Genomic DNA, 17,587 nt, shown 5'->3' with positions numbered 1-17,587 from the left:
GTGGATGGATGGATGGATGGATGGGTGGGTGGGTGGATGGATGGATGGATGGATGGATGGGTGGATGGATGGATGGATGGGTGGGTGGATGGATGGTTGGATGGATGGGTGGATGGATGGATGGGTGGGTCAATGGGCAAGTGAATGGATGACTGAATGGATGGGTAGATGAATGGTTGGATGAGTAGATGAATGGTTGGATGGATGAGTGAATGGGTGAATGTGTGAGTGGGTAGATGGATGCCTAAGTCAGTGAACGGATAGGTGATTGAATAAAAAGATGCATGAATGGACAGACTAAAAAAGGGCTTTTCCCATATTTCTCCTGCAAGGTAATTGCTTGGGATTCTTAGAAATTTTAAGCCAAGAGAGACCTTGAAATTCATCTACAGACACATCCCCAGATCCAGCAATGCCATCATGTATGAACAGGCCTGATTCCAAGAGTTGGTAAAAAGAGTTTCTTTCTCTCCCCATGATCCATCTCCTGGCAGCAATGCCCCCACCTCCTTCTCACATGTGGGCACACATGCATGTGTGCACATGGGGACACACCACAAGGATGCTCACATGCCCCAGACATCAGGACACTGCTGTCATAAAGCAGCCTGCATACCCCCATGTTAGCCTCACTGGGGCTAGTAGTGCCACACAAGGCCAGCTTCCCCTGGCATCTTGTCCTGAGCTGGGAAAGGGCAAGGCCTGGAGATCCCCAGGGAAGTGGGAGGGGAGGATATCCCTGGCCCTTCTCACCTGACCACCTGCTCTGCCATCTGGTCTGACCCAGCTCTCACAGAGCCCTTCCCCCACCCCTCTGCCTCCCTCTGTTCCTCTCCCCAGAGGCCTCTGTGTGGACCCCAGATCCCCACAAACCCTGTGACTAGGGAATTCAATACTTGCAACAGCTTTTGTTCCTTTTAGGAGGATGGGAAATATTCTTTCAAGCAGACCCCCTTACGGGAAGTGCAATAATACACAGCCTCGGCCTTGCTTCCTGCTTTCACCCAAGGTCTTGAGTGAAAGCAGGAAGCAAGCAGCTCATTTCTGAACAAATGGTGAGGCTGGGAACTGGAGTGGTCTGGACTTTGGGGGCCTAAACGTTATGCAATCTGGAGGGCTTATTTAAGAAAAATAACACCAAATTAACAGCTACAAAGTGCAAAAAAAAAAAAATCATTTAGAATGAGAAAGAAATGACAAATTTGTAAAAAGCTGAACAAACCATAAGTATCAAATCAGAAAAATAGCATATGATTCCACAAGTAAGTAACTGCCTCGGCCACCTCTATAATACCCTTTTCCTACATTTTTTTTGGCTGCATATTCTTTGATTGCTTATTTGTATGACAATGATTTCGTAATATGATTTTCCACAGAGCGAATAAAAAATGCTTCAGTCTGTCCTCCAGCACATGTTTTTTGTTTGTTTGTTTTGTTTAAAAGCAGTTTGTTTACTTTTGATGTCTTAGGGAAATTTCTTTCAATTACATGTGTTGTTATTGGCAAGGCCGTATCTGAAATGTCCTCTACAATTTCTTGCCTGGGCAGGGTATCTGTAAGAGACACCAGTTCTTTGACATCATTCACCCTCCTGATGACCACAGTTGGGCAACCAAGCCAACTGAGCCAGGCCCTCATTCCCTCTGGTCCTGGAGGGAAGAGATGGCCATAAAGCCTGGGCACCATGGCCCTGAGCAGGAAGCGCAGCAGCGACTGCTTCATCTTCCTCCTTGGAGCCAAGAGAGAGAGTCAGTGATCCATGAGGTCCACCTACCAGGTTGCCACAGCCCACAGTCCCACTCACAGTCAAGGAGCATCCTTCAGCGTAGGGGCAGGGAAGCCCACGCTGAACTGTGGGATGGGCCCATGCAAATGAAGGGCCTGGAGCTTCAGCGTCATTATCTTCATTGACACCCTGGTGGTGCCTCCTACAAATGCCCAGAGGCTCAGCCCCCAAAGACTCCTCCAGTTTTCCCTTCCCACAGCCTGGCCACCAGATGAGGTCAGAGAGGCAGGCACATGCCTGACACCCAAGGCTGGGCTGAATGTTCTGCTGGAAAGAGAACAGAGGGTGAACAGAGGACAGGCATCCAGGTGAGGGTTGTGGCCATGCCCACAGGCCCCTGAATTTTGAAGAAAATCATTCACAGCCCTAATTTAGGCCTTCAAAACCTGCAATTCCAGACATTCCCATGCGGAGGTGCTCAGTCCAATGGTTGAGGACATAGAGACCTCATTGCAATGCAAGTGTTTCTCCTGGGTCTTTAAGAGAATCTGAGTCGGGCAGGGGCAACCCCACTCCCAGCAGCCTTTGCTAAGCACCAGGGAGGGTATTTATACCAGCTGTGGGAATTGGTAAACGCCCCAATTTTATGGATGTGGGAGAAGCTGCCCATCCCTAAGCTCCCTAACTCAGCCCCCTGCCCTGCCCCCACCACACACACACACTGATCCCACAAATTCTGCCACCACTGGGAAAAGCCAAATGTCTGGGCCAAACTGAGGTTGAACTTTACTCCCAAGGAAAGACTATTGCCCTGGAAGGATGAGAACGGGGCTGAGGAGATCACCACAAGGGGGCAGAGGGCTCAGCTTTGCTTAGACACAAACTTGCCCTGTACTTCTGGAAAGTTCTCTACTACCCCAAGCCTTGATTTCTTCATCTGTAAAATGAGTGTGCAAGAAGACAACATCTCTGGATTGTGCCCAGATCCATGGAGCTACGACAAAGCCAGTCTTAACAAAAACACAGCCAGGATCACCTGTGTCAGCAACCAGCAGGTGCATGCTCCCCCAGCCTTGGACTCAGGCCACTCCTTTGGGCTGAGATTCCAAAACTCTGCCCCTGGTTTACCTCATCCTTATTCGGCACCCAAAACTTGGTCTGTTCTCGCCATACCACTTGCTGTGCCCCGGGCAGGTTATGGGCTAGCTTGATTCCAGAGGCCTGTTCACTGTTTCCACCCACGGGAAATGCTCTAAGCCTCACCCCCCATCCCCCTGGGCTTGCACACAGGCCCCTTTCTCTAGGAGGCCTTTCTTTGCAACCGTGCCCAAAGAGATCCTGACCCTCAGTTTCCTCTGCTGTAAAATGGGGACATTTGGAAGAACTGGGCTTATGTCATCTCATGCCATCCTACATCGAAGAGGTGACAAGATATTTACCATATTTTGTTTTCCTTTTTTTTTTTTTCTTTTTTTTTTTTTTGAGAAGGAGTCCTACTCTGTCACCAGGCTGGAGTGCAGTGGCGCGATCTCGGCTCACTGCAACCTCCACCTCCCGGGCTCAACCGATTCTCCTGCCTCAGCCTCCCGAGTAGCTGGGATTACAGACACACGTCACCACGCCCAGCTAATTTTTGTATTTTTAGTAGAGACAGGGTTTTACCATGTTGGCCAGGATGGTCTCGATCTCCTGACCTCGTGATCCGCCTGCCTCGGGCCTCCCAAAGTGCTGGGATTACAGGCGTAAGCCACTGCGCCTGGCCTGTTTTCCTCTTTTAACAATAGGTACAAGCTGCCAAATGATCCCAGAGCCCACCTGCCTCCTATAGCAGCACATGAAAGGAGCTTTGTCAATGTCAGTCGGGCCTGCCTCTGAACCCTGTTTCTGACCAGCAGTCTTCCTTGTCCCCACTGTCGCAGTGTCCCAGGATGGGGCTGACACACCTCTCATGCCTGAGCCTCGGTGTTGTCATGACCATGTCATCTCTACCACTTAGTGCTGGGCCATCGGGGACAGGGCTTGCCTTTGCACATCCACAGTGCCTCTCAGGGGTTCACTTCGCTGGTGGGGAGATTCTTGAGGATTAAAATGCTCCGTTCCCCCAGTGTTTGATTGGAAAACCCAACAGAGGTGTTCGTCCCCTCCTGATTTCTCTGGACAGATGAAAAATGTGGGTGGTTTCCAGGGGTAACCTAAGCCGGCAGAGGGTGGGCAGGAGGGGTGGGCAAGGAGCGGATCAAGTGACCTATGAAAGGGGACCCTCGCCATCCACCCACCTCCAGACTGGCTGGGGAGGTTTTCTGTGGGATGGGAGAAGAGTCCAGATGTGGCCAAAAGGACTTACTGCCTTTGATATTCTATGCCCTGCTCATGCTCAGTTTCCCCTTTTGCCCTATTTCAGCCTTACACCAGGCAGAAGGCTGTGAGTGTTTTCTCTTAAAAAAAAAATAATCATCACAAACCTCTTTCGATTATGCTCATTCTGTTACCATTGAAGATGTGGGAAGAGGTGTACAAGGCTTTTCTTTTTTTTGCTTTTTTTAACAATAGGTACAAGCTGTCAACTCATTCTAGGGAAACCCCACCTCCTACAGTTTCTGGAAAAGACACTTTAATGTCAAAAGGGAAAATGAGCCTTCTGATGTGGTTGCTTAAATAGCCCCTGACCAATCTAATTTGAATACAAAATGGCCTATATCAATTCATTTATTTTTGCAAAGAAGGAAGAACTCTTCCCAGGAAGCTGGAGGTCTCCATCTCAACCCACAGGGTCAGTTCAGAATCATCCTCCTTCCCCACAGCTGCAGCTGTGATGGGAAAAGGAAGGCTGGCCAGGAGCCAGAGAGTCGTGCTTCAACCTCTGGTGGCCGTGGGAGTGGACTCAAGTACTTCACCTCCCCTCGTGGAAGCTCAATACCCTCATCTATAAAATGGAAGCATCCCTGCTGACTGCAGAGGACGGATTTGCAATGATGACACATCCTCTAGAGAGACATATCCTCTGAAGTCCTGAAAAAATGTGACACAGAACATATTGTGGCAATTTTGACTTAGAGGAAAGTTTAAGTCACCATCAAAATTCTGCATGGATGTTGTCAGGCTGAATAAAAGATCAACACCCAGCTATGTGCTGTATACAAGAAATCCACTTTAAATACACATATACACATAGGTTAAAGTAAAAGGACGGAAAAAGATATAAAGAGGGATGTTTCATAATGCTAAAGTCACTTAACCAAGATATAACCATTCTAAATGTGTACGCAATGAATAAGAGTGTTTCAAAACACACTAAGCAAAAACAGACAAAACTGAAAAAAGAAATGTAAAAATCCACAATTTTAGGCAAAGATTTTAACACTTCTCTCTCACTAACTGGCAGAACAACTCCACAGAAAATTAAGAGGAACACAGACAACTTAACACAATCAACCAACTTGACCAAAGCAAACTCCTAGAAAGGAAAGCAAGCCGATAAAAGACATTGTGGCTTCTGTCTTATTCTCTCTTGAATCATTCATTCTTGGGGAAGCCTCCATCATGTCATGAGAGCACTCAAGCAGCCCTCTAAACAGGCCCATCTGGGAAAGAACTATTACTTTTAGATGTCTGCAGCCCAACACTTTGATTGTAAACTTATTATGAGAGACCTTGATCCAGGGGTGCCCAGCTCAGCTTCTACCAAATTTCTGACCCACAGAACACTGCGTGAGATAATATGCTTATTGTTTCAAGCCACTAAGTTTTGGGGTAAATATTTATGTAGCATAAGATGATCAATACAAAGGGGACAGGAAAAATATCTGAAGAAACAATGGTTGAAAATTTTCCAAATATAATGTAAACTCTAAACCCACAGACCCAAGAAGCCTAAGGAATCCCACGCAGGATAAAAGGTAAAGACAACTACACCAAGGCATATTGTAATCAAACAAGTGATAAAGAGAAAATCTTGAAAGCAGCCAGAGAAAAAGACACATTATACACAGAGGGAAAAAGACAAGAACAGTAACAATTTTCATGTATGGTGCAGCATATAGTCCATCATAATGAATATGAAAAAAGTGTGTATTCTCTCCTTGGGGATGTTGATTTTTATAAGTATCAATTCAACAAAGGCAGTTAATAGGATACTTATGCTTAGCTTTTCCATGTCTTCTCTCAGTTTCTGTCTAGTTGTTCTATCAATTGCTGACAGATAGGTACTAAAATTTCCAATCATATTTGTGGATATTTTTTCACCCTGCAATTTTGTCAAATTTTGCTTCATTCATGTTGAAGATCCATTAACAGATATATATATATAGCCTATTGTATCTTCCTTATGAATGTCCCTTTGCTATTAAGTAATTTATTACATGTGTTATTATGTTTTTTATGAAATGTTCCTCTTTATACCAGTTATTGCACCTTGCCTAGAAGTTTATTTTATCTGATTTAATATAACCCCTTCAACCAACCTTCTTATGCTTATCGTTTGTATGGTATATCATTTTCCACCTATTTACTTTCAATCTATCTGTGTCTTTATACTTAAAATGTGTCTCTTGTTGACAGCAGGTTGAGTCTTCTTCCTCTCTCTCTCTCTCTCAGAATGTTAAATTTTTTAGCATAATTTTATATATAGTTGAATTTAGGTCCATTTGTCTTCTCTTTTATATTCCCCTATGTTTATCCTTTCCTTTTTTTTGTTCCATTTGGTCCTTAATAGAATATTTTTTGAAATTCTATTTCTCTGTTGACTTAATTAACTATGTCTATTTGCCATTATTTACCAGTGAATTATTTTCTTGTAAGAAAATCTAAGTAGATTCAATTACATTCTAATTCATCAACAATCATAAAAAGTAACTTTAAAAAGATAACACTTAAAATAGCATTAAATAAAGAGCGGCACCTAGGAAGAAGTCTAACAAAAGACATGCAAGACCTATGGAGAAAATTCTAAATCTTCATGGAAAGACACAAAGGAAGCATTAAATAAATTAAGAGATATGTCATGCTCCTGAGTAGAACTCAGTATGGTAAAGATGACAATTCTACTCCAGTTAATGTATGAATTAAGGCAAGTCTAACCAAAATTCCAACAGATTATTTCATAAAACTTAACAAGGTAATCCTAAAATTTATGTGAATGATTAAGGTGCTAAAAACAGGAAGAAGGTCTTGAAAAAGGAAGACGAGGAAAAGAAGGTAGGGAAGGAAGGAACGAGTGAGAAAGAGTCATACCAAAGATAAAGATTAACAGTAAAACTATCATAATTAAAATTGTGTGGTATTAGTGCATGAATAAATAGATTGATGGGACAAAATAGAGAGGAATTTTATGGAAACAATATATAAGAATATATCTGTAGAAAAAAAAGAAAAAGAATTCAATACATGGATTGGGGACAAATGGCTTTACAAAGGAAAACAAGATAAAAATATATCCTTTCCTTACACCTACAAAAAGAAATAAATTTCAGTTGAGCCAAAGACCAAACTGTACACGGAAAATCTATACAATTTGAAAATAAATTCTGATAGAATGCCTTTCTGACACCAAGATAAGAAATTATGTATTAAACTAACACAAAAAGTACAATCAAAACAAGATTTAATTTAACTGTATCAAATGTAAAAAAAAAAAAACACACAACAAAAAAAACTTTAGTATGACCAAAGATACTGTGGGAAAAATGAAGAGAACAGGCACAAAGAAGAAGATATATGCAATACTTATAATTGACAAAGGATTTGTATTAGAATATATTAAAAATGTCTACAAATTTTAAAACCATGGTCAAAGGATACAACGAGTCAAAATATAGCGAAAGAAACCAGAATAGACACTACAACCAACCTCAATGATGATGAAGGAAATGGGAATGAAAGCAGTAAGCGATGCCCCATCATATCCGTCAGACTGGCAAAAAAGAGAAGCTTCATAGTGTTAAATATACACAGCGATTGTAGAATAGGAATTCTCGCACATTGCTTCACATCTGTGTTTGGGACAGGAGGAGCCCAGAAAGGACAGGCTGAAAAACATCGTTTTTTTAGCTAGATCATCGATTGCCCAAACCTTGGTTTTGACAGTAAGAAAGACAGGGGACTGGGACTCTGCCACACTCCAAGACACTCTTTCTACTGGACTAGTCCACAGCCAGAGACTCGGGGCTCAAAGGCATCTGCTGAAATCACTGATCCTTTTGCCCTTGGTCCCCATACCAGCCAGAGCCACTATCCCTGGCAGACGCAGCCCCCAGACTTTTAGCAGTCTGCAGACCAGTGAACTCCAGACTGCAGAACACTAATTCTCTTCCCCAACACCCCAACACCCAACAGCCTCTCCTGGGAGAAATCCAGGAAAGCATCAGGAGCCCATAGGAACTGCACATAAATGGGAGGCATGGTGATGACCACAGGGTTACAGGATAAAAATCTCTATGGGAAGAGGTTACAGAACAGAGAAAGGCAATGGGTCTCTCAGGGCCAGGTTCCAGCCTCTGAGCCACCACCTGCCACTGTGAATTTCGGAATGTGGGACAAACGCAATGCCCTTGGTTAGAGATCACAGCCAGTGTCAGTTCTGGCTACCCAGCATCCCTTCCCACCTCTTCTGGGAACCGTAACCCAACTTTCCTATAAGGAGGACTCCTCCTGGCCAGGATCCATTTCAAGAGTGGCTTCACCCACTGGGCCAAAAGTGGGCCATGTGACCCAAGCCTAGCCAATCAGACCCAGGCCTCAGTGATTGGTCAGGGACTGTCATGTGCCCCAACCACAGCCAATGAGACTCTTGTTGGGGAATGCTGGGAAAGACTCCTGCTGCTTCCTACTAGACGTGAGGCTTGCACTGCTCCCGCCATGGTACGAATGCAGGGGGGAAGCTGGGGAGGGGTCAGCAGAGCCCTGGAGGGTGTGGCCAGAGGGGGAGAGGGCACCAGCGTCCTAGGGCCTGTGGGGCCTGAACCAGGCCCCTCCCTACCACCCCCACCCCCCCCCCTTCCTCCTGCCCTTCGTGTTCACCATCCAATACATTGTGGCTGAATCCACTTCAAGTTGGGGTTTTTTTGGGGGTTTTTTTTGGTTGGGTTTTTTTTTTTTTTTTTGCCTCTCACAAAGGAGAATCCCAGATACCTAGAGGCCAGAGGTCCAGGGCGATGGGTGGGCTGTGTCGGGGCCCGGCCCAGCCTGGCCTTCCGACAGCATCCAGGCAGGCCCTCTTTCCCTCCACCGTCTTGGATGGGCTTAATTTATTGTAGGAAACCCTTGAAGGCGCAGGAGCTTTTGGAGAGCCGGGGACAATAGGCATAAAGCATGCATTTAAGCCGTCTGAATGGAGGCTAGATTTACTGTCTGGGCCAGACGGGATTTTTGTCCCCAAGTCATCTCGGAGTACATTGGCCACTAAAGATCTCAACAGAAGACGAAGACGGAACAAAAGAAGTAAATTTTAAAAGGAACTTTGTCAAGGAGTTTTAGATGTTCACCAGATAGAAAACCGCGGCTGCCCTCACCGAAATGACTTTTGGATTTGCCCAGTGGTTATGGATCAGAGGAAGATGCTAATGAAGTCGTTTAAATGCACGTTTGATGGACCCCAGAGAATGGGACCAATTTCATACAAGCCCACAGCAAGGTTAAGGAATGAAAGAAGGTGGCCGTTAGAGTTGCTGCCGGGGACAAGGCTCCATTGTCGGGGCTGCCTTTTTCAGCCGTGAAGCGTGAAGCGTGTTTTGAACTACAGTGTTTACCAACGTGTACATCCTAGTCTGGCCGACCGGGCCTGCAGAATTTATGACCAGGAACAAACCTCTTAGAGGGGAAAAGAAAACAGCTCTTACCAGCTGGGAAAGGTCTGTGGAGGGCCCTGCGTACTGCATTAAGCACTCTGGGCCCAGCCAGGCTCCATGGGGGGTGGGCGGCATTGGCAAAGCTGGGGCCTGGCATTGCAGATGGAAGGAGTCTTCTCTTTTGAGAAGAACTCAAAGGGGGAATGGGGCCTGCTTGCCCTCCAAGCTTCTTGATCGGTTTCAGTGTATCAGCATCTGGGCCTCTCTCAGCAAAGTCCACCTGTGAGCCTGGGCACTGCAGGTTGCAGGCTGGAGTTTCTAAGAAAGTTTTGGCACCCAGTTTGGATAATGGGGCCACTGTTGAGGGAACTGATGTTCGTGAGCTGACAACCCCCCGCCCGCCGGCCTGAGGATGGGGTTCCCTCTCTAAACCCCCATGTCGGCAGCCGCTGACCTTCATGTTCACTCAAGGCCCTTGACTGAAGGCCCCCATCTGCCACTTGGTTGCCCAAGTTCTATGTTCCGTATGCGCTGGCCCATGCATGGCTCCCCTTCCCTCAGGCAGACCCTGGTGCTACCATCCTGGCCTTGGCGAGCACCTGCCCTCCTCCGCATGACCTGTCCCACTTGTAACGTCATTACCAAGCTCCGTGATAGCTGCTGTCTGCCCAGACTGCGCCTCTGCTCTTTTCTCCCAGCCTCTATCCAAGTAGCCCCCTCTGCCTGGAACAGTGCTACTCAAAGTGTGGTCCCCAAACCAGCAGTGTCAAGGTTGCTGGGAACTGGGGAGACATACATATTCCCAGGCCCCACCTCACACTGACTGAATCAGAACCGCTGGGGGTGGGGGCTCAAGGATGTATTTCAAGCGCTCCAGATGACTCTTCTAGACACTAAGGTTTCAGAGCCACTGTCCCCAGACAGGGTGCCCCTCCTGCTCTGCCTGGTGACTATCTGTCTGCCTCTCTCTATCTCTCTGTTTGTAGGAGCTCAGATCATGCCCTGGAGAAGCAGGTGACATCGCGGAATTTTCCTGGTGAGAGCAGGCAAGAGGAGGAGCCCCTCCATCCTCCCACCTGGGTCTGGGGCTCAGAATCTTCCCTGCTTTCTTGTTGAGTGGCTGGAAACTCCGGGAGTTGTGGCAGGCCAGGAGGCCGGCTTATCCCCAGGAGGGGGCTTTGGAGGCTAGATTCATATCCTAGGGCTGTTCTAACAAAAATGATCAAAAACCAGGTGGCTTAGAACAACAATAATTCATTCTCTTGCAGTTCCAGATGCCAGAAGTCTGAAATGAAGGTGTAAAGCAGGGTGGTTCCTTCTGGAGGCTCTGAGAGAATCACCCCAGGCCTCTCTCCAGCTTCTGGTGCTGGTATTCTCAGGCTTGTAGGCGCATCACCCATGTCTGCCTCCATCTTCACATGGCCTTCTCCTCTGTGTCTGCCTGAAGTCTCCCTTCATTTCTCTTGTAAGGACATCAGTCATTGGATTTAGAGCCCACCCTAAACCCAGAATGATCTCATCTCAAGATTACATCTGCACAGACGCTATTTCCAGATAAGGTCACAGTCAAAGGTACCAGGGGTTAGGATATGAACATATCTTTTTGAAAGACACGATTTAACCTACAGCAGGTGCTCAGGGCAGTTGGGTGGGGGCCTGTGCTAGGGGCCCAACAGCCAAGGCTTAAAGCCGCACTCCACACCTAGGCCTGTGACACCTCCCACAAGCTTCTTCACCTCTCAAGCCTCAACTTCTACTTCTGCAAACAGGGAACAATAAAAGTATCTCCCTGCCCCCACCTTGCAGGGTTTCCAGTTCCAATGTCTACACACTCACCTGGGAGTTATCTGAAATTGTTGTTCACCTGCTTAAACCTTTTGAGTTTCCAGCACCCCCCAGAAGTCCCCACCCTCTAGTCCCTTAGCAAGATACTGGCCCTGCGTGAGCTTCCCACCTTCCTTGACAGCTGCATCTCTCATCATTAGGACCTGGGCAACACTGCAGAATATGGCAGGTCTTCCCTCATCTCTGTGCTTTGCCTCCATTCCCTGACTTCTCTCCCATCCTCCTCCTGTCACCTGGCCTCTCCCCATCCTACTGGCCTTAAAGCTCAGCTCCTGAAGCCTCCCTGATGCTCCTCCCTTCATAGCCCCTCCCAGCCTGGCCACGTGGGCTCGGGCAGCCCAGAGCCTGGGCCTCCTGGTCACACTCTGAGCACACAGCCCATTTTCTCTCCAGTGCTGGCTTGTGTTTGACACCATGCCTGACACATTGGGGGTGCTCAGTAGACCTGTGTGAGATGGACAGCCTCCCGTACAGATGGACGGACAGATGTACAGGTAGGTGAATGAACTTTCGTTGCCCCTAAAGCAGGAGAGACTCTGAGTTTCTGAGACAACGGCCAAGAACTTTCTGATAAGATCTCTGCATTTAAGGTTCAGAAAAACTCGATGAGGACAATATTTTTCTCCCGATTTTGCAGATAAGAAAATAGAGGCATAGAGAAGTCACTTGCTAGTAAATGTTAGAGGCAGCTTTCTAACCCAGGTCCATGTGAACCCAGAAAAAGAGGCAGTGAGCACCTGTTCACCCAGGAGCAGCTCTCAGAAGATAAGATAATACGAGGAGGAGGCAGCAGACCCCTATGCCACGCGTCCACCTGGGGCTGTCCATCACTTCCTGCAAGATCTTGCTGGTAGCCAGATTCTCAGAGACCCCCAGTGAGCCCCGCCTCCTGGTTTTCACACCCTGTGTAGTTTCCTTTCCCCAGGGATGGTCCAAGTGACCAGCAGCCCGTGGCAGAAGTGATGGAATAGCACTTCCAAGCTTAGGTTATGAAAGATTGCAGCTTCAATCTCCTGCCCCACACCCCGTCTCTCTCTCTAACCCCACTCCCTCCCTCCCTCTCTCATCTCTGACTCTGGGGGAAGCACACTGCAGCCCCGTGGAGATGCCCTGTGTAAGCCACTGAAGCCTCTGGCCAACAGCAGTGGGAACCTGAGACGTGTCCACAAGCATGCATGGGAGCTTGGAAGTGGATCCTTCAGCCCCAGCCAAGCCTTCAGACGATGCAGCCTCAGGGACAGTATGACTGCAGCCTCATGAGACCCTGAGCCAGAAACACCCCTCCAAGCCACTCCCAGATGCCTGGCCCTCAGAACCTGGGAGGTAATAAATATTTATGGCTGTTTGAAGCTGCTGTATCGGGGGACAATTTGTTACACAGTAATAGCTAACTGGTGCAGTCCTGGGACTCTTAGCAGTTTGGAGTATCAGTTATTTTGCCAAGGCGGGGAAGTTAACAGTGGTCATTGCAGCAGCTGCACTTGGGGACCACAATAAAGAAGCTTTCTCAGACTGGTTTGAACAAAGTGGTGAATTCTCTGCAAGGACACAGAGGTGTCTCTCAAAACCCAAGGATGGGACAGCAGGCCTCAAGAAGAACTGGAACCTCTGTCCCTTCTGTGCTTCTTTTTACTCCTGTGTTCTCTGCTTCTTGGAGCACTTGGCAGTTGGGAAGTGGCCATTTCAATTCTCGTGGTCAAGAAACCAGCTCAGAAATAACCCAACCAACACAGGTGGGGTCAGGTGTCCATCCTGGCTCCATTTGTCATGGCGGGAGATGGTGATGAAGAGAAACATCCAGGACCATTGGTAGGGCACCCGAATGAGATTCCAGGAGAGGCCAGTTCTAAGAGAAGGGTACTAGAAAGATACCCATTGAAGTCAATACCACATGTGGCACATCCTCCTTTCAGGTGGCAAGTGTGTAGCCAAAGCAAGGTTCAGGGTCCATATTTGAAAGTCAGAAACTGAATAAACTGTTTTCTCCCACCCCGAGCACTGTGGGGAACTCTGCTCACAAATCCACCATCCACCATCACCAGCCGTGCTCATCTGACCATTCATGCAGGCTCACACTTGACCTGATGTGGGTTCTGTCTCCTTTGCTTGAGAATTGAAAGGCCTGGGAGATGCAAAAGCTTTAGGCTCCAGCCATCTCCCCATGTCAGGTAGGCCTTTTGCCTAGTGTATCCAGTTGGTAATGCTGCAGAGATGCATGAAGCTGGAGTCAGAGGCCACCTGTAGTGCTGCCCTGACTTCAGACCTGAGCCCAGCCCAGCAGCAGAGAGGGGGCTGGGAGCCAGAGGAGGCCTCACAGTAACAGCACAGACAGGTGGGGGCCCACAACAGGCCACATGTGTTCAAACTCGAGTGTGGGCAGAGGAGCATGGGAAGCTCAGAGCCCTGAGCTCACCCCACACCCAACACGAGTGGGGTCACCCAAAATCAGCCTGTCAGCACTGTCCCAGCAGCCAGTCGCATGCTACATTAACAAATTTTGCACAGGCCAGCAAGCAGGATCGCTCACCAGCCACCCTCCTGAACTGGCCTATGGGGCCCCAGGATGATGCCATAGCCACAAGTCTGGAGTTCCTCAAAGTACCTGGTCAGCACAACTCAGTTAAACAATGGGCAAAAGACCTGAACAGACACTTCGCCAGAGAAGATGTACAGATGCAAGTAAGCATTTGAAAAGGTGCCCCACATCGTATGTCGTTAGGGAATGGTCCAATCCAGAACACTGATGGCACCAAAGGCTGCTGAGCATGTGGAGCAGCAGAACTCTCATTCACTGCTGGTGAGAAAAATGGCGCAGCCCCAATAGGGAACCCTAATGCAGACTCTGGACTTCACTGGAAATGACGTGTCAGTGTAGCTGCGTCAGTTGTAACAAATGCACCAGTCTGGTGGGCGTGTTGATAACCGGGGCTGCGCACGTGGGGAGAGAGGACCTGTGGGAATGCTCTACTTTCCACTCATTTTTGCTGTGAACTTAAAACTGCTCTTACAAAATAACATTGTTTGTTGTTGTTGTTGTTGTTGTTGTTGTTGTTGTTTTTAAGTATCTAGTCAGCTCCACACATGACCCGGGCAGAGTGGGAAGTTGTAGAGTGCCCCAAGGAGAGAAATGGAACCAGGTCTCATGTGGGGCCAAGTGTGGGCTCCCTGTCCTCTCAGCTGGTCCCAGGAACTGAAGGGAAATTTAGACAACTTGGAGAAAGACACTCTAGGGCTCGGGGCAAAGGGTGGTGTTGATGAGAACCATATTTTTTTATTGCTGGTGTAAGCACTTGTATTTTTCTGATTTTCCACTGGTTCGATAATAAGGGTAAAAGACAATAAAGCATACTTTTTAAGCTTTTGTTTAGAAGTTTTTTTTCCAATAAAACTTCCCCAAAAACCGATAGAAAAAACTGACAAAAGAATTCCTGTTTTGGTTCAAGTTCATGATGGGTGGGAGGCACCATGACCACCACACCTATGTTCATGCCTTCCATCCACAAATCAGAAGCTCCATGAGGGCAGGCAAGGAAATGACTGTCCTTTCCATCCTAAATCCCTGGTGCCTAGCAGAGTGTCAAACACATGCAGGAGTTTAATAAATATTGAACAGAAATATACTCTATCAGTGTATGGGTTCTGGAGCCAGACTTTCTAGGTCTGAATCCCAGCTCTGCCACTCAAAAACCAAGTTCCCCAGCAAGTTACTGGCTCTCTCTGGGCCATGGTTTCCTCATCTGTAAAGTGGGGCTAAGAGTGATATCTGCCTTATAAGGTTGTTGAAGGAATTCATAGTTTAATACACATAAAGTGCCTGAACCAGACATGTTGTGTAGTGATCATACAATAATATCATTACTGTCTCCATCCTCATCATCATTATTCCATGTTGAAGAGGATAATCCCCATCATGGTTCCCTTCCCCTCTGAACCCATTCAGAACCCAGAGTCTCTGCACGGTTATCTCAGCCAAAATCCCTGCCCTCAGAGAGCTGACGTCCCATCTGGGAGGAGACACAGAACAAATAAATAAATATGGAATATGTCAATGCTGAGAAGAACAGAGTCTGTGGTCCCTAGTGCACCCTGCTGCCTCTGACAGGGATGGGAAAGAGTGGACTCATAATAATTAATTTTATTTGTCAACTTAACTGGGCCACAGGGTGCCCAGATATTTGGTCATACATTCTGGGTATGTCTGTGAGGGTGTTGCTGGATGAGATGAACATTAAAATCCATAGACTGAGTAAAGCAGATTGCCCTCCCTAATGTAGGTCAGCCTCATCTAGTATACTATACACACACACACACACACACACACACACACACACACATACATATATATATATTTCTGTATATGTACACATCTTATTGGTTCTGTTTCTCTGGAGAGCCCTAATACAGATCTGCCCATTGATGGTGCTGCTATTCTCCCAGGGGGTTAGAGAACTTTCCTCACTTTGCCCCTGACCCCCATGGTCATCCTCTGTCTCTGTGTGTTGAGAGGACTGCAGTGAGATGATCTGGTGTCTACTCCAGCTCTGCAACCAGGATGACCATAGGAACCACATTAAAGTCCAATCATACCACAAGTGAAAACAGGTGCCATCATGGCCCCATTTTCCCAGCCCCATGCCACAGTCATGACTGGTCCCTAAACAACCCCTGCGGATCACTGCTACATTCCCCTGATGAGTCTTTCAGCCTCTGCCCTGGCCTTTTCAATGAACCCACACCACTTCTCCCAAGGATTCCATGGCCATGTTCTTCCTCTACTGTCAGCCCTGGTGGCCTCCTGTCACCCACAAGGTGAAGTCCAAGCTATGTGACAGGGTCAACTACATGATGTGGTCCAAGGATCCATCCCTGCCAAGGTTCAGCCTCATCTCTTGACATTCCCCTTCTTAAATTTTCAGCTCCTGTAAAGTTAAACTGCTAATAGTACCCCATGGGTGCCAGAATATTTCTTGACTCCTCATCTTTCAGCTATGGTTTGTTCCCTGTGGCCCAGGGTGCCCTTCTATTGCCACACTCTTCTCTTAGACAACTCCTGCCCATCCTTCCACATTCTGCTTATCAACTTCAGGGCAACTTCCCTGATCCTGTACACCACTCCAGATTAGTTTGGGGGCCCCTTCTGTCTCTGTAATGCAATGATGAGTCTCCATTGCACTTACTTCATTTTCAATATTATCTTAATAGGCATTAATCCAAAGAGGTTCTTGGTTCCAAGCCCTGGATCCTGGCCCATAGTTGACACTAGCAATGAAGCAATGAGTCTAGAGCTGACCCTCACCTACACAGTCTTCTGATTTAAGACATAAGGACAACTGTAATCAAGGGAAAGGAAGGGTGATCTTTTCAGTAAATAATGCTGGGGAGACCAGAGAGCCAATGGGGGAAAATGAACTCCTACCTCTAATTTATACCATGCACCAAAATTAATTTTACCTCCACCTATCAATAATGAGGCAGCAGACCCCCTTCTCTTGCCAAAGCAATGTCAAAAGAAAAACAATCCAGATGAACCACAGGATCTAAATAATACAGAAACATCCCAGTTTCAACTGGAAATCACACATCATACCAAGAATCATGAAGATCTCAAGCTGCATGAAAAACAACAATCAATAGGTGCCAACACCAAGATGACAGAGATGTTAGAGTTACCTGAAAATAATTAAAGTAGCCATGACAGAATGCTTCCAGGATCAATTATGAATACACTTGAAGCAAATAAAAAATAGAAAGCCTTTGCAATGAAATAGAAGATAAGAAGAACCAAATGGAAAATTTTAGAACTGAAAAATACAGTATGAGAAATGAAAAATTCACTGACACCTTGAACAGAAGAATGGAAAGGACAGAGGAAAGAGTGAAGTGGGAGACAGAATAACAGAAATTACTGAATCTGAACAACACAGAGAAAAGAGACTGAAATAAAAAATAACAGAGCCTCAGGGACACAACAAAAGGAACCAAGAGTCAAGAAACACAACAAAAAATCTAATATTTAAGTTTCTGGAGTTCCAGAAGGAAAGGAGAAAGAGCATGATAGTGAAAAAATGCTTACAGAAATAATGGCTGGAAACTTCCTAAATTTGTGAAGAGACACAAACTTACAGATTCAAGAAGCTGAACAAACCGTAAATAGGATAAACCAAAGAAATCCACACCAAGACACATACTAATTAAACTTCTGAAAACTAAAGACAGAAAAAAGTCTTCAAAGCAC

At 46.6% G+C, this 17,587-nt stretch overlaps 1 long non-coding RNA gene across 2 annotated transcripts; it reads left to right on the top strand.

Moving 5' to 3' along the window:
• Positions 1–8,527: 8,527 nt before the first annotated feature.
• On the top strand, positions 8,528–14,713 carry LOC105369367 (uncharacterized). Of its 2 annotated transcripts, NR_188531.1 has the most exons (5): positions 8,528–8,581; positions 10,494–10,543; positions 10,776–11,079; positions 11,746–11,846; positions 12,448–14,713. It is a non-coding gene; the product is annotated as an uncharacterized LOC105369367 (long non-coding RNA). The 2 variants fall into 2 exon arrangements; NR_188530.1 differs by having other exon boundaries at positions 10,776–11,846.
• The last annotated feature ends 2,874 nt before the right edge of the window (positions 14,714–17,587 follow it).

Source organism: Homo sapiens, chromosome 11 (assembly GCF_000001405.40).
Source record: "Homo sapiens chromosome 11, GRCh38.p14 Primary Assembly".
In the NCBI taxonomy this organism is placed as follows: Eukaryota; Metazoa; Chordata; class Mammalia; order Primates; family Hominidae; genus Homo; species Homo sapiens.
This window is presented reverse-complemented; position numbering and strand designations above follow the sequence as displayed.